This window comes from Homo sapiens, chromosome 11 (assembly GCF_000001405.40).
Source record: "Homo sapiens chromosome 11, GRCh38.p14 Primary Assembly".
Classification (NCBI taxonomy): Eukaryota; Metazoa; Chordata; class Mammalia; order Primates; family Hominidae; genus Homo; species Homo sapiens.
This window is the reverse complement of record NC_000011.10, coordinates 129,411,038-129,430,516: the sequence shown is the minus strand read 5'-3', so window position 1 is coordinate 129,430,516 and position 19,479 is coordinate 129,411,038. Positions and strand designations below refer to the sequence as shown.

The 19,479-nt window shown below is 43.3% G+C and overlaps 1 protein-coding gene across 3 annotated transcripts in view, besides 1 other annotated feature; it reads right to left on the bottom strand.

Moving 5' to 3' along the window:
- Nucleotides 1-19,479, bottom strand: part of BARX2 (BARX homeobox 2) — a 77,047-nt gene that overhangs the window by 21,763 nt on the left and 35,805 nt on the right. The window contains exon 1 of one of the 3 annotated variants that reach the window (XM_011543043.1): nucleotides 11,660-11,723. The exons of the other annotated variants lie outside the window; for them this stretch is intronic. Coding sequence (XP_011541345.1) covers nucleotides 11,660-11,708 — 49 coding nt within the window. The 5' untranslated portion in view covers nucleotides 11,709-11,723. Of the gene's footprint in view, nucleotides 1-11,659; nucleotides 11,724-19,479 lie in introns of those variants that run through there. 3 annotated transcript variants of the gene reach the window in all.
- Nucleotides 12,386-12,435: an enhancer, noted in NCBI's record as "active region_5747". NCBI's record gives its function as "activates an Ori minimal core promoter by ATAC-STARR-seq in GM12878 lymphoblastoid cells {active_cell/tissue: GM12878}" and the evidence as "EXISTENCE:reporter gene assay evidence [ECO:0000049][PMID:35858748]".

The window sequence follows — 19,479 nt, the reverse complement described above, 5'->3', positions numbered from 1 at the left end:
TTAAAATGTTACACACATTTGCTACAAAATAAATTTAAAACAATTCAAAACTACATAAAGTAGAAGACTCCCCTCACTGCTTTCAACCCCAAATCTTAGAGATAAACTTACAGAATTGTTCCTATGTACATATATATATATGACCTAAATCCAGTAATATGTATATTAATCTATTGAAACATATAGTTACAAAATGGTTATTTTACAAAATATAAGTATGTCACATTTTTTCTGAATGGATAGCCAAAAACCCTAACACCATATATTGACTAGTTCAGTGACTTAAAATGGCAGGGTTAAGATACAGTAAATTCCCAAAGAAATGAAGTTGGGAATTTTTGCTCATCAGAATTCTGGGAGTCTCCTGGGGAATTTCCATCAGCAGAATTCCGGGAATATCCCGCTCTCCAGAAAAGCAGCCAACTGGGGAAAAAAACTACCCTTCCCAAGGGCTGCCCTCTGTGGAGGTGGTCACAAATTGGGAACACAATGTATGGGGGGCAGGGAATGGTGGGGGAAGAGAAAGTTAGAAAACCACGAAGACCAGAGAGATGGGGACACATTTTTAGAGGCTGCCGTGAGTTTGCACCTTGCAGGAGAGTGAAGGCTATTTAGACAAGATTTCTGGAAAATATTTTAGGGAGTATACTTTGTGAAATCCATGAATATACTCCTTTAGGAACAAGTAAAATAAAGATCTTCATATTCAAGGCTTCCACAGTCAGATTTCTGATTTACATCCACTAGGCCATATGGGGCCCTAGAAATAGTTGGGTTATATTATGTATACATGGGTCTATTCCCAGATTTTGTCCTGTTCTACTGAACTAATATATGATCCTATTATAGGATCACTCCACTTTAATGATTGTGGGGTTTTAGGGAGTTTTCTTATCTGGTAGAACGAGTCCCCCCTTTATTTTGCTTACAGAATTTTCTTGGCTATTGACATTAATTTATTTTTCCAGTTGAACTTCCGTTTTTTTTCCTTAGAGACAGGGTCTCCCTCTGCCACCCAGGCTGGAGTACAGTGGTGCAATCATAGGTCACTGTAACCTTGAACTCCTAGGTTCAAACAATCCTCCTGTCTCAGCCTCCCAAGTAGCTGGGACTACAGGCACATGCTACCACACTCTGCTAATTTTTTTTTAGAGGCAGGGTCTCCCTGTGTTGCCCAGGCTGGTCTCAAACACTTGACCTCAAGTGATCCTTCCACCTCAGCCTCCCAAAGTGCTGGGATTACAAGTGTGAGCCACCATGCCCGGCCTCCAGTTGAACTTTAGAAATCAACTTGTTAGACTCTAAAGAAAGCAAGTCCCATTAAAAACTTGATTAGAGTTACACTAACCTTATAGATTAATTTATAGAAATGATTCTACTGATGATCCTATCCTTTAGTAGGCTGAAAAGCAATTGCTGGTTATTTAAAAATGACTTCCAGAGATTTGGGCAATTTGGTTCCATAAAGCTTAAACCTAATGAAAAATCTTCATGAAAAAAAAAAAAAAACACAACTTCTAATAAATAATAGTGACTTAAAGCAACATCCTAATCACCAAAGTCCATTGTTTCAGCAATCTTGACCCAACGTTCTGATGCAAATTCCGCTCTAAGAGTGTACTCTTCCCCACTGGCTGAGAGCGCCCCCGTGAAGTTGGAGGCGCACACACAAAGCTGCCGTGATGCTGAGAAACATTTCAGGATCTTAAAAGGATCACCATTGTCAACAAATAGAATCGCAATGAGGCACTGTCTTGAGCTCTTGGTATTTGATATGTGTCTCTAAAGTTCAGAAGAACAGGCACGGCTGGAATGGGAGTTGGTGGGTAATGTGTGTGCTACAAACCACTGGATCTCTCCGAAAAGCAAGCCCATGGGGAGCAGAAAAGTGAGACAAAATATACTTGAGCCAGCTGCTTGCTGTCTTTTCTAATTTTAATATATGACTTGATTTCCAACAAAGTAGCATTGACCCAGAGCTTTAATTTCACAAAGCGCTTGCATTCCAACATTTCCTACTCTTGCAAAAAAGTACTGTGAAATAAATCCCACCATAAATCTGTATTTTGACTAAAAATCAAACCCAGGTTTTAAAAACAGTGCCAAATTATAAATTAATGCATACATTAGGAGACACTTTGGTTACTGAGAAGACAGATAACGTACAACTCTTAAGTATGTCTTTCTCTTTCCTGAGAATTATCACAATGTGAAAACGTTGACTGGGGACAGCTGCCCTGCTACCCTAGATCATTTACATACACTTGTGAAATTCAAGCACATTATCTGCTACTGACAGTGTGATGACTGTAATAAACCAAAGACATTGTTTAAACACACAGTTTTAGTTGACAGAAGGAGCATAAACATGACCCCATTGAACACATTTTCTAATAGTTGTTTTTCTTCAACCAATCCTCTTAGCCAATGTTTCCCTCTGGGATGGAGATCACATAACTGTGCATATCATTTACCTAGAAATACTTCCCTGCCAAATGTTCGGCCTTTTTGAGAATCTGTTTTTGGATTCTGGAAAACCTGAGTACATGAGTGGTTGGTGGGTGCCGGAGACATCCTGGGAGCTTGGGGAGATGTGGAACATTTGGTAGGCTAAACAGAGTATTTTCAGTCATGCTGGTTCTGAAAGCTGTCAGTGAACTCGTGCATGTGAACATGCTTGGGCCAGGCATGTACCCACTCCAGGGTTGCTGGTTCTTGGCACAGCTCCTCCATCTAAGTCCTCCTTCATGGCAGAAGCCAGGTCCCCGCAGCTACAGCCATACTTGAACCTCAGGGCAAAATCCCCCAAGTACAGTTTCTGCCCTCACACACCTCCTGTGGGCTTCTCTTCTATTCTTCCAACATTCTAGTCCCCACATTGACTCTCCACACCCACATTTCCAGTTTACACAAGCAAAGGCCAAAGGTCTGAATGGATAAGAATTTCTAAGCTGCCTGCTTGACTGATTTACATTGCAGGAATGTGTGACCTATATATACACAGAAAGCTTCAGAGGGACATAAACAACGCACACACAAAGACACTGGTCCAGAAGTATGCAGATAACCTGGAAGATGTACGCCATGGATAACTGGGCAGCTATAGCTGAGTTTCCTAGAAAAAAAACATAAAATCACCCACACCGAAGTATTCCCCTAAGCTCCCGTTCCTACCAACTGGCTGGTAGTTTGAGGTAGTGGAAAAAATAAGGCCTCTATTCCTGACTCACACAGTGAGCAGGTTACCAAGTCTTTCTTGATTTCAATGTCCTATAAAGTTAGGCCAATAACAGTTCTCCCTCCTGGATTATCGTGAGGATTAACGGCATTAATGTATGTGAAGTGCCCAGGGGGCACTTGGTTCCCTTTCTTTCTCTCCCTTCACTTAGTTTCATAATGCTCAGTGATTGAGCCAAATTAAAGTAGATTAATTTTCTTATCAAGAAAGCACACCTACTTGTGAAGCATGCATACGTATCTTCTTATCATCTGTGCATTCACATGCAAAGCAAGATTCAGCAGTAGCAGAGTCGGCCAGTTTCTCTTTGCTCAATGGAAGTCTTCCAATGCCCTTGCAGCCATATACCGAGACTGACAGCAACCAGGGAGCTCAGAGAAGTCAGAGGAAGGGCTCACCTGGCTGGACATCTTCCTAAAACTACCAACACTCCCCAAATAGTTACTTGGGTTTAGTAGATCTGTTAAAAAAAAAAAAATCCACAGAAAAGTTTGAGGGTCCCAAGGCACAGCCCTTCTCAAGGTTAGTAACAGGCAAGGAAGGATGGAGTTGGGGGTCACAAGACAGAACCAAAGCCAATTTCTAAAAACTGCAGGCAGCGGGGCCAGGTGTGGTGGCTCACGCCTATAATCCCAGCACTTTGGGAGGCTGAGGTGGGAGGATCACCTGAGGTCAGGAGTTCAAGACCAGCCTGGCCAACCAACATGGTGAAACCCCATCTCTACTAGAAATACAAAAATTAGCCAGGCGTGGTGGTGCACACCTGTAATCCCAGCTACTTGTGAGGCTGAGGCAGATGAATTGCTTTAACTCGATAGATGGAGGTTGCAGTGAGCCGAGATTGTGCCACTCCACTCCAGCCTGGGCAACAGAGTGAGACTCTGTCTCAAAAAAAAAACAAAAAAAAACCAGCATGGAAAACAGATACAGGGTGGTTAAAGTAAGTTACTTTGCCCTGTCTTATGCTGAGAGCGAGCTGAGTGTTGGTGGTCACCAGATGTGAAAGTTCCATGACCGTGTCCCCATACGCATAATCTGTAAGCCTAGGAGAGAGGAGGACAGAGGGAGGGAGGAAATACAAAGAGATTCTGAGTAGCCTTTTAACTGTGATTCACCAAGTTTCTAGTCCAGCAAGAGTGAATGAAACAGATGCACTCTCTACAGATTCCAGTTTTGTGTGACTGAAGAAAACAGAAAATGTTTTAAGAGGCCAACTCAAAGGCTGACAAAATGTCTTAGCAACATTAACTACCTCATTAAAAAAAAAAAAAAAAGGAGGAAGGGCATTTTGTGAGTTAAATGTAAATGAATTAGAAACACGGAATAAATTTATTCTAAAATCCATATTAGACTACCATGATAGAGACTCTGGAATAACCCTCCAGTTAAATAAAAACTTAAGAAGTTTACAAAGGTTTAAAAATAAAGGGCAGAGAGGTGGAGTGGGGAGAAAAGATTGGGGAGATTTAGAAAAATGAAGAAAGTTTGGAAAATAAGCAAAGGACATCAGAGAGACCTTGGAAGCCTGATTGCTTCACACCTTCTTTTCATATTCTTCACTTTGCAGAGACAAGCCAAGTCTTATCACCTTATCCCTGCAATATCACTAGAAATGTAGACACCCACAAAACCACTCAGCAATGCTGGAGCTAAGTGAGATCGATTAAGCTAGCCCAACAGGTAGGTTTCTAGACTTTCTCATGCTGCCTAAAATGTCACATCACCTAATTCAGTCATCATCCAGCCCGCAGCCTCCACCACCCTTCACCTCCATTGGCCAGTTAGCACATGGACATGGTGTGGTCTTTCTCCTCCCGGCCATGCTGTTTTCCATATACACCCACACCTGCTTTCATCCATGCTTCACAAGCACTCCCTGACGGAAAGCTGCCAGGAACAGCTGCTGTTTAGTACAAAGACAGAATCACTCACTCCTACCTTCATGCACCCACACATTCTGTTTGTGTCCTGATTCACTCTTACTTAATTCAAACCTTGAATTAGGAGTTATGTTGTTTACCCATCTGTTTCTCACGAGATTGAAAACTTCTTTAGGAAAAAAATTTGAAACTCCATCTTCCTGGTGCTTAACTCCATGCTTTGTTGAATTGATTTTACCTGGAATCAGGATTTCAGGGCTAGAGATGTGGTTCTGACACCTTTGAGCTCTATGACCTTGGTCATATTTCGAAGCTTCTGTTTTCTCTTCTATAAAAAGGCAATAGTAATACTTCTCTACAAGCTTGTTGGGGGATAACATTGCAAATGAGTATGAAAGACAATGAAGAACTATTCCAAAAAAGGCACTGATTTTTTTCAATCACCCAACTTAGCAGATCCAGTGAATGTTCCATATTGTAAAGATGTCTCTATTCACTAAGAAGTCACAACACTGCTTTGTTGTGCTAACCTCATCCATCCCTCTGCCTCATAGCTTGTGCTCAATCATTTCTAGCTGACATCCTGGCATTCACAGAGGCAAAGTCCACACACAAAATTTCCTGGGAGGAATCCTCTGGTTCACTGTCATCATCATTAGGGAACTCTGTTGAACAGCTACTCAGCTCTGTGCTGACTGGTAGAGACAAGAAGAGAAGCAATTCCTGATCTCTGCCCTCAAAAAAACTAATTATTTAAAGGTAAAGAGGGAAATGAAGAAACATGTGGCAAAGGCTGAGTGGTGTAGGAAGTGTAGGAATTCTAGAGAGTACAGTGCCTGGTGACAGGGTGAGCTGTGAAAAGAGCAGGAACTGAGTTCCAAGAGGGGAAGGAAGGGATGGATTCCAGAGGCATTGTCGAGGAAAATCCAGTAGTATCTGGAAACAACCTGCAGGGTGGGGAGAAGACAGGCAGACACACAGGAAGGGGAAGACTCAAGACGCTCGAGGTGACTGCTGGATTTAGGGCCATTGAGAGAAATCTGATGTCTGCAACGTGGGAATGTTTTGGGAGAAAACATGAGGCTTACAGTTTGAAGTGACAATCACACATCCAAGTGTCAGAGACAGTCACAAGCTGATGCTCCCCAGAAGGGCTCTGAGATGAATGCATAAATTCACTCAAAACCAAAGTTGAAGGGTTGAAAGCAGAATTCATCTCCCAAGAAGAAAGATTTAAGAAACAAGAGGATGGACTGGGCGCAGTGGCTCATGCCTGTAATCCCAACACTTTGGGAGGCCAAGGTGGGAGGATCACAAGGTCAAGAGTTCGAGGCCAGCCTCACCAATATAGTGAAACCCTGTCTCTATTAAAAATACAAACATTAGCCAGGCATGGTGGCAGGCACCTGTAGTCCCAGTTACTCGGGAGGCTGAGGCAGGAGAATCGCTTGAACCTAGGAGGTGGAGGTTACAGTGAGCCAACTGCACTCCAGCCTGGGCAATAGAGTGAGACTCCATCTCAACAAAAAAAAAAAAAAGGAGAGAGAGAGAAAGAAACAGAGGATGAAGGACTGGACCTTGGAGTACATCTTCATCAACAGGGCTGGAAGAGGAAATCATCAATAGAAGAGACAGGCATTATATAGCATAAGAGGCAGCAGCACAAGCCAGAGAGTACAGGACTAGTAAAATGGCCAAAGAGAATTTCAAGAATGATAAACATTCAATGAGGTTACTCATTAGCCTTTTCACATAAGTTTTGAAACTTTCTCCCCTTCTCTGACTATGGCCCTGGAAGTGGACTATAGCCCTGGTTTAGGAATCTCCACCAGGCATGCTGGGGAGATGTGCACAATGTCAGGGCACTGGACCCAGTTACTAGAAAAAGCCACTGGAGATTACCTTTCTGCATGTGGCCCCCTGGGTCCACAGGCAAGTTCCTGATTACATGCAAAAAAATATGTAATTTTAAAAATCCAATCTGGGCCGGGTGCAGTGGCTCAAGCCCGTAATCCCAGCACTTTGGGAGGCCAAGGTGGGTGGATCAAGGGGTCAGGAGTTCGAGACCAGCTTGGCCAACATGGTGAAACCCTGTCTCTACTAATTATACAAAAATTAGCCGGGCGTGGTGGCAGGTGCCTGTAATCCCAGCTACTCGGGAGCCTGAGGCAGGAGAACTGCTTGAATCTGGGAGGCGGAGGTTGCAGTGAGCTGAGATCACGCCATTACACTCCAGCCTGGGTGACAGAGCAAGACTCCGTCTTGGGAAAAAAAAAAAAAATCCAATCTGATTTCATTCTTCTCCCTACACATTCTAATCCTGACTTAAATCTCTCTATGGCTTGACTTAGTTGCAAAGAATTAAAAACAAAGGGAGATAAAAGAGAATAAAATCTGGCTGGGCAGGGTGGCTCATGCCTGTAATCCCAGCACTTTGGGAGGCCAAGGCATGTGGATCATCTGAGGTCGGGAGTCTGAGACCAGCCTGGCCAACATGGTGAAACCCCATCTCTATTAAAAATACAAAATTAGCTAGGTGTGGTGATGGGCACCTGTAATGCCTATGACTTGGGAGGCTGAGGCAGGAGAATCACTTGAACCTGGGAGGTAGAGGTTTCCGTGAGCCGAGATGGTGCCATTGCACTCCAGTCCGGGCGAAAAGAGTGAAACTCCATCTCAAAAAAAAAAAAAAAGAGAATAAAATCCAATTCAACTAAATAAATTGTGGAATCCCTACTGTACACACAAGAGATCTACACACTAACTGGGGATAAAACAATACACGAGAAGACCATGTCCTGGCTGGACACGATGGCTCACGCCTGTAATCCCAGCACTTTGGGAGGCTGAGGCAGGAGGATCGTTTGAAGCCAGAAATTCGAGATCAACCTAGGCGACATAGTGAGACCCCATCTCAATGGAAATTTTAAAAATTAGCCAGGTGTGGTGGTGTGTGCCTGTAGTCCTAGCTACTTGGGGGGCTGAGGCAGGAGGATCACTTGAACCGAGGAGTTGGAGGAGGCAGTGAGCTACGATTGCACCATTGCACTGCAGCCTGGGTGTCAAGAGTGAGACTCTATCTCTAAAAAAAGGAAAAGGAAGAAAATTTAATTAAATAAATGCATAAAAGACAGACCAGGTCCTTGTCCAGCGTAGGGTCTAGCCAGGATGGCAGATGATTTAAAAAGCAGTAGTTCAGGTGCTATAAAGAGTGTTGAGGGGCTGGGCACAGTGGCTCATGTCTGTAAAGCTAGCACTTGGGAAAGATGAGGCAGGAGATCATTTGAAGCCAGGCAATCGAGGCCAGCCTGGACAACAGAGCAAGACCCCATCTCTAAGGGGAGGAAAAAGAGTATTCAGGAAGATCTAACCAAGTATAGGCCATCAGGATTCTCATGAAAGAGTGGCATTTAACTGACATTCTAAGAATGAGGTTAGCTGAGATTCCAATGTGATCCAAACTGAATGATATAAAGCAACAGGTAAAAGTTTAAGATATGCCAGTATAAAAGTATACAAATTTGCCAAATTATAACTGTCCAAAAAAAAAAGTAAAACCAAAAACCTGAGGAGTAGAGAAAATAGAGGAAAAGGCATTTGTGCCTCATTTCAACTTCTGATGTTGGAATTGGTTCCACAGAGTAAGGACAAGCAGGAAGAGCTCGTTGCTGGAACATGAAGGCAAGTCATTAAACCGGAGCACCTGCAAACAAACCAGTGTCTGGCAAGGCCCCCAAAATATAGTCAGTGATCGGAAGATTTCCCATTACTGTGATGACTGGCATCATACAGGCATTTCCATCAGGATGTTTCCATCTCACGCAGTCAGTTATATGACTTCTATGGAATCCCATTGATTTTCTCTTTTTGGTATTCTATTCATTTCTAATAGATGTGTATCCTTAGTGATTATGCATCCAATGCACACAGGGGTCATCAAACTATGTTACAAAAAGGATTCCAACTTTGAAGGAATCTACCTGTTGAAGTAAGGAGGAAAGGGAAGCTCTGTGTTTGATGGAAGGATTTTGTTGGATAGAATGAGAGTTCCTCTCCCTTTCTCTTTTATTTAAGCTGTTAAGAATAAATGGCAGCCAGTGCATCCCCAAACAGTTGAGGGAAAATTTTTACATGAGACATCAATATTTACTCATGTTTGAGTCTTCCTCTTGAAGACACTACTATAATAAGGGGTAACCACAGGAATAACAGCAATAAGATTTTGCAACACAATGCACATCGGTTCGCAAACCACGGTATCCAACTGGCTACCAGGACCAAAGACAGTTGCTCCCTACAGCAAGAAGGCCTTTCTCTTCCCTTGCACGGAGCCAAATCCTGTCTATGAAGGTTGAACTCTGGCCTTGACAACCCCGTTAAACTTGCTCAGCCTCTGGGCCACAGTGAGGTCTTTCTTGCTCTGAATATTCCTCATCCGTAAATGAGGGAATGAGATGATTTTGAAGGTCCCTTTTTGGTACCAAGGTACAATGATTTTATGACTAATATTACACTAGGAAACAATATGTCTCTCTAATATTTCTCAACCACATTTAAAGTTTTTGCCTTTTACTTCTATCTCCCACAGTGTTCTTCCTGTACTTTGCACAGGGTATCAACTGAACAAATATTAGTTGAATACGTGTGCAAAGAACAAAATATTAATGCATGCATATCAACTTCTCCAGCTCTGCTCAATCATCTCAGTTCACAAGGAGGTGAAGTAATAAACTATAAACTATTTACTTACCTGATATTCCCATGGGTGATCCAGACTGTAACTACGAAAGGCAAAAGACTATATTTGCACCATGCACAATTAAGACTTTGAGATTAGGTGATTTATAGCTAATAACACACTAAATAACAGAAGAGAGATTATTTTTTCTAATCCAGTCTTTGATGGATGAGGCAGAGGGCATTAAACAAAGTCACACAGAAGAAAGCTGAGGTCCGAACTAGAAACAGAGCTCAGGCCTCCAGAGGAGAGAAAACGAGTGTTCTGTTCACATCACTGTATTGCCTTTCTGGGCAAGAGCCACCAAATACTGAGTGCTTGCATGGCCTCGGGTTCTTATTTTCCTCCTTCATGTGGTCTATTTTTGGGAGAGCTTGAGTGTATCCAAGATTCACAGCTAATGATGTGATGTATTAACAGCCAATCCAAAAAGCTTCTGCTTGGAAAATTTCCCCAAATTTGGCTAATACATGTTTAGGAGGAGGGGGGAAAGGAACAGTAGACCTTGGATTGCGTTACAACCCAAAGGCCCACAACACTGACACTGATTTGTTCACTAAAAAATAATATTGATAGGCCGGGTGCAGTGGCTCATGCCTTTGTGCTCATCCCAGCACTTTGGGAGGCCGATGCAGGCGGATCACCTGAGGTCAGAAGTTAGAGAACAACCTGGCCAACATGGTGAGACCTCATTTCTACTAAAAATGCAAAAATTAGCCAGACGTGGTGGCTAATGCATGTAATCTCAGCTACTTGGGAGGCCGAGGCATGAGAATCGCTTGAACCCGGGAGGCGGAGGCTGCAGTGAGCCGAGATTGTGCCACTGCACTCCAGCCTGGACGACAGAGTGAGACTCCATCTCAAAAACAAGAATAATAATAATAATATTGCCAGTAATGCTGCACCTGTGGTGAGGGCCTCAGGAAGAGTCAACCGCCCACAAGCAGAGAGGCTCCACAAGACCTAAATCAGCCTGGTGTCTTTTAGATTCCCCCACAAGTCTCAAGGCCAAGGACAGAGGGACAAAAGGAAGGAACACTCACTGGGCACCACTAGGGGCTGGACTTTGCACATACATCCTTCACTCCACACAGAAACTATCCCATGATGAGGTCACATGTCTGAGATTTGAGCAGAAGTCTGTTGGATTCATGGCCATCCTCCTTTAAGTATATATCACGCTACCTCCCACAATTCTAAAATAAAGTCCTCACTTAATATTATAGAAAGGTTCTTGGAAACTTCGGCTTTAAGTGAAACCAATATAAGAAACCAATTTTCCCACAGGCCAATTGATATAAACAAGAGTGAAGTTCCTACAGCACGTTTCTAGCGACAAAAACATCAAACTTCCAAACAAAGGCCAAGAGATTTCTAATATGAAACACTGAAATAAATATGAACTACATAAACATTGAAGAATGATTAATAAAATGAAGTAGGGTAAGTATTTACCCAGTTTTTCCAGTTCAGGGGTGCAGGTGGCCAGAAGCTTCTCAGCAGCTCAGGGTGCCAGGCGGGGGCCGGCCCTGGACAGGACACCCCCCAACACAGGGCGCACTCACATGTACACCCACACTCACTCACACAGGGACCATGTAGGCACGCCTGTTCACCTCATGTGCGCAGCTTTGGGACATGGGAGGAAACTGAAGGACCCAGAGAAAACCCACGCAGACATGGAGAGAACGTGCAAACTCCACACGGACAGTGGCCAGGCCAAGATTAATGTTTTTCATCAACGTTATAATGAAACAACATTGAATGAAACGATGTTGTTTGAGGACTTTCTGTACAACTTACCAGAGACTTTCCTTTCTGACATTCTGTCTTCCAGGCAGTTGATGTGCATTCCAACATAGTTAAAACCTTGTAGGGTGTGTTAATAATGAGCTATGCCAGGCGTTCGTTATACTACTTGAGAATAGGCCCCCGTAATTCTCATGACAGGGTACCCAATTCCCAAAAGAAAAAGGCAGTATAAAGGATATGTTTTCATTCGTGATAGAGATCACATCAACTTCTTCCCAATAGGAAACAATATGTTTCAATGTAGAAAATTTCAAACTGTAGAAATGTATACACTAAAAAAAGCTATGTATGTTCCCACATACAGAAAAGCTAAGCAACTTCTACAAGATAAAGGAAGCCCTATTTGGAGAGGTTTCTCCCTGACTGGGAGAAAGAAGGCACTCTAGTTTCAGTGCTGGGAAGAAGAGGGCAAATAGTTGTGTTTCCTGGGGAACCGCTTGGGCTGAAATAACATGACATTCTGAAATCCATCGAATACAGAAATAATGACCCCATTACCAAGTCCAAAGAACTGAGCCAAGCCACACCCGTGGGCAGAGAACTCAGATTTACAGCCAGCTGTTCAGGTATTTTCTCATTTTCCATGAGCCATTTCCTTATTGACCACATGAGAAGCAGAGAGGCCTTTTTATAGAATTTGCAACCATTACGCCTAGAGATAGATATCAATAGTGCTTTGGGTTTCCCCTGATTAGTCAATTTACTTCCTCAGCTGGTAACAACCTACCAAATGTGGTACAAAACAAAGTGCAAAAACAAATAAATGCTTCCTCTTCTCCCTAGGTTCTAAGCTCAGGATTACAGGGTCAAAAATCATCATTCTCTCTACAGAAAGAAAAATAAGGTCAATAAGCTGCAGTGTCGAATTTTACCAAGATTATTTCAAAGCACAGAATTTTAAAGTATCTATTTTTAAACTGCAGGATCTCTTCTGCCTACTTAATAAGATGGGTACCAGAACAAGGTTTTGAAACTGCATCAGAAAATAGAAACTTACGAAAATGACAATGTAATATTTGACATATTTTATTGTATAGGCACTATTATAAACTGCAAAGGCCATACAAATGGAGGCTACTGTTATGATCTGACAGAGGAACTCTGGACTAGCACAATCCTTCGCCAAACATCTCCTCTCTTGCAGTCAGCATCGGAGAACCCAGTTCCCACACCAAGTGTAACAACCAACACAGACTCTGATTCTGCAGCAGACCTACACCCCTCCAACAGCTGTAGCGTGCTTTCATCTCTGCTATTCAGGTTTGGCACAGAAAAGAGGATTTTTGACAAAAGCAACTTTTAGGCCCTGAAAGAGAAGAGTTTAAAATGCAGTTTGCCCTGCAGGCACGCGTTCCTTTCGTTGGGCCCCAGCTCTCTTCTAGTGACCCAAGCCCACCACTCTCCATCCAGCTGCCACCTGATCCTTTCAGGAAAGATCTGCCTTCCCTCTTCACCGCACAGCTGAGAGCAGGAGATAAGAAATATTCCTGGGACGTGGCCTCCCTGTCCTGGGGAATGGAGCTGAGTCAGGGCAGAGCAGTGACCCTTCCCATCTAGCTGTGTCCATTTTATTATCCCACAACTTAGCAAAGCACTGGCAGAAGACAGGAGTGCTGTAATATCTTTTAAAATAAAAATAAAGACACTGGGCCAGGCACGGTGGCTCACACCTGTAGTCCCAGCACTTTGGGAGGCCAAGGTGGGTGGATCACGAGGTCAGGAGTTCGAGACCATCCTGGCTAACACAGTGAAACCCCATCTCTACTAAAAATATAAAAAATTAGCCGGGCGTGGTGGCGGGAGCCTGCAGTCCCAGCTACTGGGGAGGCTGAGGCAGGAGAATGGCGTGAACCCGGGAGGCGGAGCTTGCAGTGAGCTGAGATTGCGCCACTGTACTCCAGCCTGGGTGACACAGCGAGGCTCTGTCTCAAAAATAAATAAATAAATAAATAAAAATTAAAAAAAAAAAAAAACAAAGACACTGGATAGATGTACTCCTACGATACTCCAAAAGCCTCCAAAAATAGCCTCAAGCAGCAGCCGAATTACACCAGGCCAAAATCTCAGTGGAAACCATCCATCCAGTCGGTTACATTTGTGGGTCCATAATGAAGCTATGAGAGTCAGGTTCAAGTTTTCACATCTCTAAGGTAGTATTTAAATATAAACTAAAGGTGACAACTCATTAGCCCATTCATGACTCATTAGAGCTTCTAGCAGGTCAGAGTTCAAGGAGGAAATGACCAGCCCCCAACATATCAACAAACTCCAAGCATTTTTAATGGACTCTACTATTTCTTAATATTCAGAACTAGTAAAAGCTATAAATCCTTAGTGTCAAGATTCTTTGGGCATCATAGCCAAAGATAATCCATTGGAAACCCTGAGCCAACTCCTTCCTCCTGAGAAATTTCTGGGAAAGTTTCTGTAGGAAGAGGCTGTCATGCCAAACTTTTCCATGCCCAAGCACTGTTCCTGTTACTTCTCAACACACTAACATTTTGGTAGTCTTTCTCAACCAACATTCCCACCTCCGCCCCCTAGCCACACCCTCCTCACTCCTCAACAACCACTGAGTGTCAAGGCTAGGTCAACAATCTACGACACGATTCCCAAACACTGCAAGGTGAAATGGCAAAACTCAAGTCACAGTGCTAAGATTTAAAAAGCACATCCAGACTTCCTCTGTGTACAAGTCCCTGGCCCTGAACACACCCGAAGGCCAAGTTCGAAGGCCTTACCTTTCAAGTGCCCACACAGAGAACAGCCAGCCCATCCAATCCAACCTTTCCTATAAAAGTCAAAGATGAAACAGGGGTCTTCAAAAGGAATCCATATCTCTGAAATTGGCTGAGTCATTCTCAGCATGGACTCTGAGGAGCCTAAGAAGGGGGCTAAAAGCCCCAGTCACGTTGGATCCAATCGGAAGCCTCAGGAAAAAGTGTCATTTGGAAGACAGAGGAAAACTGGTGGGACTTGAGTCACTAATTTACTTCTAAAACACTTAGGATCATCTATGATTTCAGCTTAGACTTAAAGTGGAATGTTGGCACCTTTTCTTCAGGAGGAGGGTTACAAAGTAAAGTTGGAGCAAGGGAGGAAAAGTTCATTAAATTAAGTCTTGATAAATATCTAAATGTATTTTGTGCAACACAGGATACATTCATTCCTTGGCCTACAACTCTTTGAGCAATCTAGTCTTAAGAAGGGGCCCAAGAAAGATTCCAGGGCCCGGTGCTCTGTGATATGGAAAATGGTTTGCAAGCATCTGATGTTTCCTGGGGAGAAGGGAGACATATCAAAAGTAATGGGACATGCATTAATTAGACAAGTTATGACCAGTGGGCCCAGCAGAACCATTCTTATTGCTTATCCAAAATCTCTGAACCACTGTATGAAGAAAACTTGCTGCCTAGAATAGTCCTGTAAGAGTATCCCCCCATGGCATCCTGCAGGCTTTGCTGAAAAAATAAGGTGAAAGGCTTTTCCCGATGGCTTCTGGGGCTTAAAGGGAGAAAGGGCCATGAGGAGAACTGGCCAGGCTGACCCCATACAATGAAGTCATAGAGAACACCAGAGAATCTGTATTATTAGGCAACAAAAACGCACCTGAAACTCATCATGATCATCAATAACACCATCAAAACATGTAGTAAGAGCCTGATTACAGGACCTATCATAGGGAGTGAACTGAGAAAGTTCCAAAGCACCAAAACCACTCTTGCTTGTAAAGTTTATAATGGGGGGAAAGGAGAGGATCATTCCAATTTTTATATTAAAATAAAAGATTTAAGATTAAATAAAAAGTGAAATAAATTAACAGTACTAAATAAAAATATAAATGAGCAATATTGCACTACTTACCACAACTTTTAAAATGAGATGCTTAATGCCTAGAGCCAAAAAGAACAATGAGGCCATTCGTCCATTAATTACTATCTCATTATTGAGGAGTTTTATTGACAGCACTATTGTTCTCTTTAATTATTTTTGGCCTAAACTCTTTAGCCCTTATGAAAATCATTAGTAATAATGTATTTGGGCTTCTCACACCTAGCTTAGGTAGTATCTTCACATACCTTTGATGCCAGTCACAATGAAGGCACAATATCTTTCTTAAGCAAACCCATGGCTGTAATCAAAACAGAGCCATCAACAGGCTCTGATTCACTCCCTGCTTCTCCCCAGTGCTGTCATTTGCATGTAATGCTAATATGGGATTTGAGGACATGGGTTAGGTGTAACCATAGGGTTATGGAAGCCTAGGGAAAGGATTTATGGAAGTTTCTCATCTGAGACTTGGAGAGAATCTCATCCAGTAGAGAACGGCCTTGAGATCTGCACCCAACCTAGTGGCTATCATTAATACTAAAGAAAAGAAGGCAGGGGAACGGGAAATAAGGTTTATTGGCATACTGAGAAGTATTACCAGAGTCCAACATTAGAATGAAAGACTATACTTATGTAAATCCTTTATCTCGGTAGCTCTTAGATAAGCCATATAAAACAGCTTAGTCACAGGGCCTAAACTAAATTATATCCAGAACTGAATTGAGTCAAAGGTCATACAATACTTACAAGCCTAGAACTAATGTAGACAGAACTTAAACCGTGTCAGAAAAAAATCACAATTTGCCTTTTCCTTAAAAGTCTCTGAAGAATGTATTAATACATTCTGAACTCCAAAACCTCCCTTCCTCACGGTAATGTAAGGAAGTTCAAACTGATATCAAACCTAAATAATCCCCGAGCTATTACTGTCCGCTCTCTCTTTTTTTTTTTTGAGATGGAGTCTCCGTCTGCCTCCCAGGCTGGAGTGCAGTGGCGCGATCTCGGCTCACTGCAAGCTCTGCCTCCCAGGTTCATGCCATTCTCCTGCCTCAGCCTCCCCAGTAGCTGGGAATACAGGCGCCCGCCACCACGCCCGGCTAATTTTTGTTTTTGTATTTAGTAGAGACGGGTTTTCACCGTGTTAGCCAGGATTGTCTCGATCTCCTGACCTCGTGATCCGCCTGCCTCGGCCTCCCAAAGTGCTGGGATTACAGGCGTGAGCCACTGCGCCCGGCCTACTGTCCATTCTCACATCCCTGCTGTCTCTAGAAATAAAGAAGATTCTTCTCCAAGGTGCCGATGACACCTTTCCCCACCATTTTCCGTTCCACCCGCCTCTCTCAGGCCCCTAAGCTTCATGCCTTGACCACTGAGATATCTTTTTACCTGGTTCCCCTATCTCCGGCCTTTACGGTTTCCTAGAAAATGCTTTCCAACATTGTATCCCCTGCCTCAAAAACCTTCTGGACTCTCCAGCGTCCAGAAAATAAAGTTAAATTCCATGAAATGGTAGTCAAGACCCCTGACAAATTGAACTGGGCCCCAATTCACCTTTCCAACCAAATATCTACTCAGCATAACCTGCCACTTACTCAGTATTCAAGAAATACATTTGCCACGCTCTGGCCTCTCTCTGCTGCCGACTCTGGTCCTACAGATAGTGGTTACAAGCCCAGCTCAAGAGCCATACAGCTCTGCTTTTGAGTTTGGCTTCACCACTTAGTAACTTGCGTGGCTTTTGACAAATTCCTTTAAGTTTGATAAGCCTTGGTTTTTCTACCTGTTGAAAAGAGATAATAATAATGCATAGCTCAAAAATATATTACGAGAATAAGATAATTCATGTAAATGCTTAGCACGGTGCCTGGGAAGTAGCATGTACCCATTATTCACTTTTTAAATTACTAAATTAAATGAATTATTTGCAGTTCTTTAAGGCAAAACTCAAATTCTACCTACAGCTAGAAACTTTTTCCAAACATACCTAAGAATTCCTCTTCAAACTCCCACTGCACGTAAGTTTCCAAACATAATTTAGCATCAAATAGCTCTCCGGTTCTTTTTAAGCTTTATATTTTGGTTTTCCTCTACCTAAAATAGAAGTTTCTTGAGAACATATACTGTGTATTATTCTCTGAACCTCTTCAGAACTTATTTTAGGGCCAGACACATCATTGGCACTCAATTAATAGTCCCTAACTGAGGTAAGAGGTGGGACCTGGATACAGGACCAAAGTGAGGACTAGCTGCAACAGGGCCGAGACAGAAGCAGCTTTCCATAAGACACACCCACCAGTGTGTGCCACGTGTTTTCCATTGCCATGGCAACAGCTAGACGTTACCACCCCTTTCCACAGCAATGACCAGATGACCCAGAAGTTACCGCCCTCTTCCTAGAAATTTCTGCATAAATTGCCCCTTAATTTGCATATAATTAAAAGTGGGTATCAATGTGAGTGCAGACTGCCTTTGAGCTGCTGCTCTGGGCACACTGCCTGCTCTGCAAGGAGCAGGACCTCTGTTGCTGCTGTACACTGCTGTTTCAATAATCGTTGCTGTTTAATACCACTGCCTTGCCCTTGAATTCTTTCCTAGGCAAAGCCGAGAACCCTCCCAGGCTTAGTCCCAATTTGGGGTCTTGCCTGTCCTGAATCATAAACATTCCAAGTACCAAAGTAACTCCCTATTCAAAATCATCTACCTATATTTTATAAACTACTTCTTTTTTTGTTTGTTTTTTTTTTTTGAGATGGATTCTCGCCCTGTAGCCCAGGCTGGAGTGCAGTGACGCGATCTCGGTTCACTGCAAGCTCCGCCTCCCAGGTTCACGCCGTTCTCCTGCCTCAGCCTCCCGAGTAGCTGGGACTACAGGCGCCCGCCACCATGCCCGGCTAACTTTTTGTGTTTTTAGTAGAGACGGGGTTTCACCATGTTAGCCAGGATGGTGTCAATCTCCTGACCTTGTGATCTGCCTGCCTCGGCCTCCCAAAGTGCTGGGATTACAGGTGTGAGCCACCGTGCCCGGCCATAAACTACTTCTTTGGCACTTATAAACACTTTATATGTTGCTTAAATTTTGCATGTTAAATTTCAAGCTCCAACCGAGTTCCTCGAAAGGACAGGAGTCCTATTTTCTATCTGATGCTCTTCCAGAGAGGCGCCATTCCTATGAGTCTCGATCCCAGCTGCAATTCAAAAGACCTTGTGAGCCTTTAAAAAATATTAATGCTGAGGCCCCACCCGCAGAGATTCTAATTTAATTGGCCTGTGGCCGGGCCTGGTGATTCTGCCGTGTGGCCAGAGCTGAGAAGTAGCTCAGCTCCCAGCACACATCAAAAGTCAACAAATTCTTCTTGACTTGCTAATTGGCAAGTTGCAGACTATAATGAAGTCTCTCAGTGCTTCTGTCTTTGGGTATGTAAACCCTTTTTCTCTAACTTTCCTTTACATGGGCTTCATCCCGATTCTTACTATTTTCTTCCTGATATCATCCAGCCCATGAGCCCGCAATTCACTTACAGAATTGCCATGTAAGCAAAGCTCCCCTGAAAGTGCTATTTGCTGAGCATAACTTCTTCATGTCCGTATTATTTTCAGTAATATCCACTCTGCTAGTCTTTTAATTCTTTTTTTTTTTTTTTTTTTTGGAGATGGAGTCTCACTCTGTCACCCAGGCTGGAGTGCAGTGGCACGATCTCAGCTCACTGCAAGCTCTGCTTCCCGGATTCACGCCATTCTCCTGCCTCAGCCTCCCGAGTAGCTGGGACTACAGGCATCTGCCACCACGCCCGGCTAATTTTTTGTATTTTTAGTAGAGACGGGGTTTCACCATATTAGCCAGGATGGTCTCGAACTCTTGACCTCGTGATCCACCCGCCTCGGCCTCCCAAAGTGCTGGGATTACAGGCGTGAGCCACTGGGCCCGGCCCACTCTGCTATTCTTTAAACACTCTGCTCCACATAGAGTGTCACCATAGCAC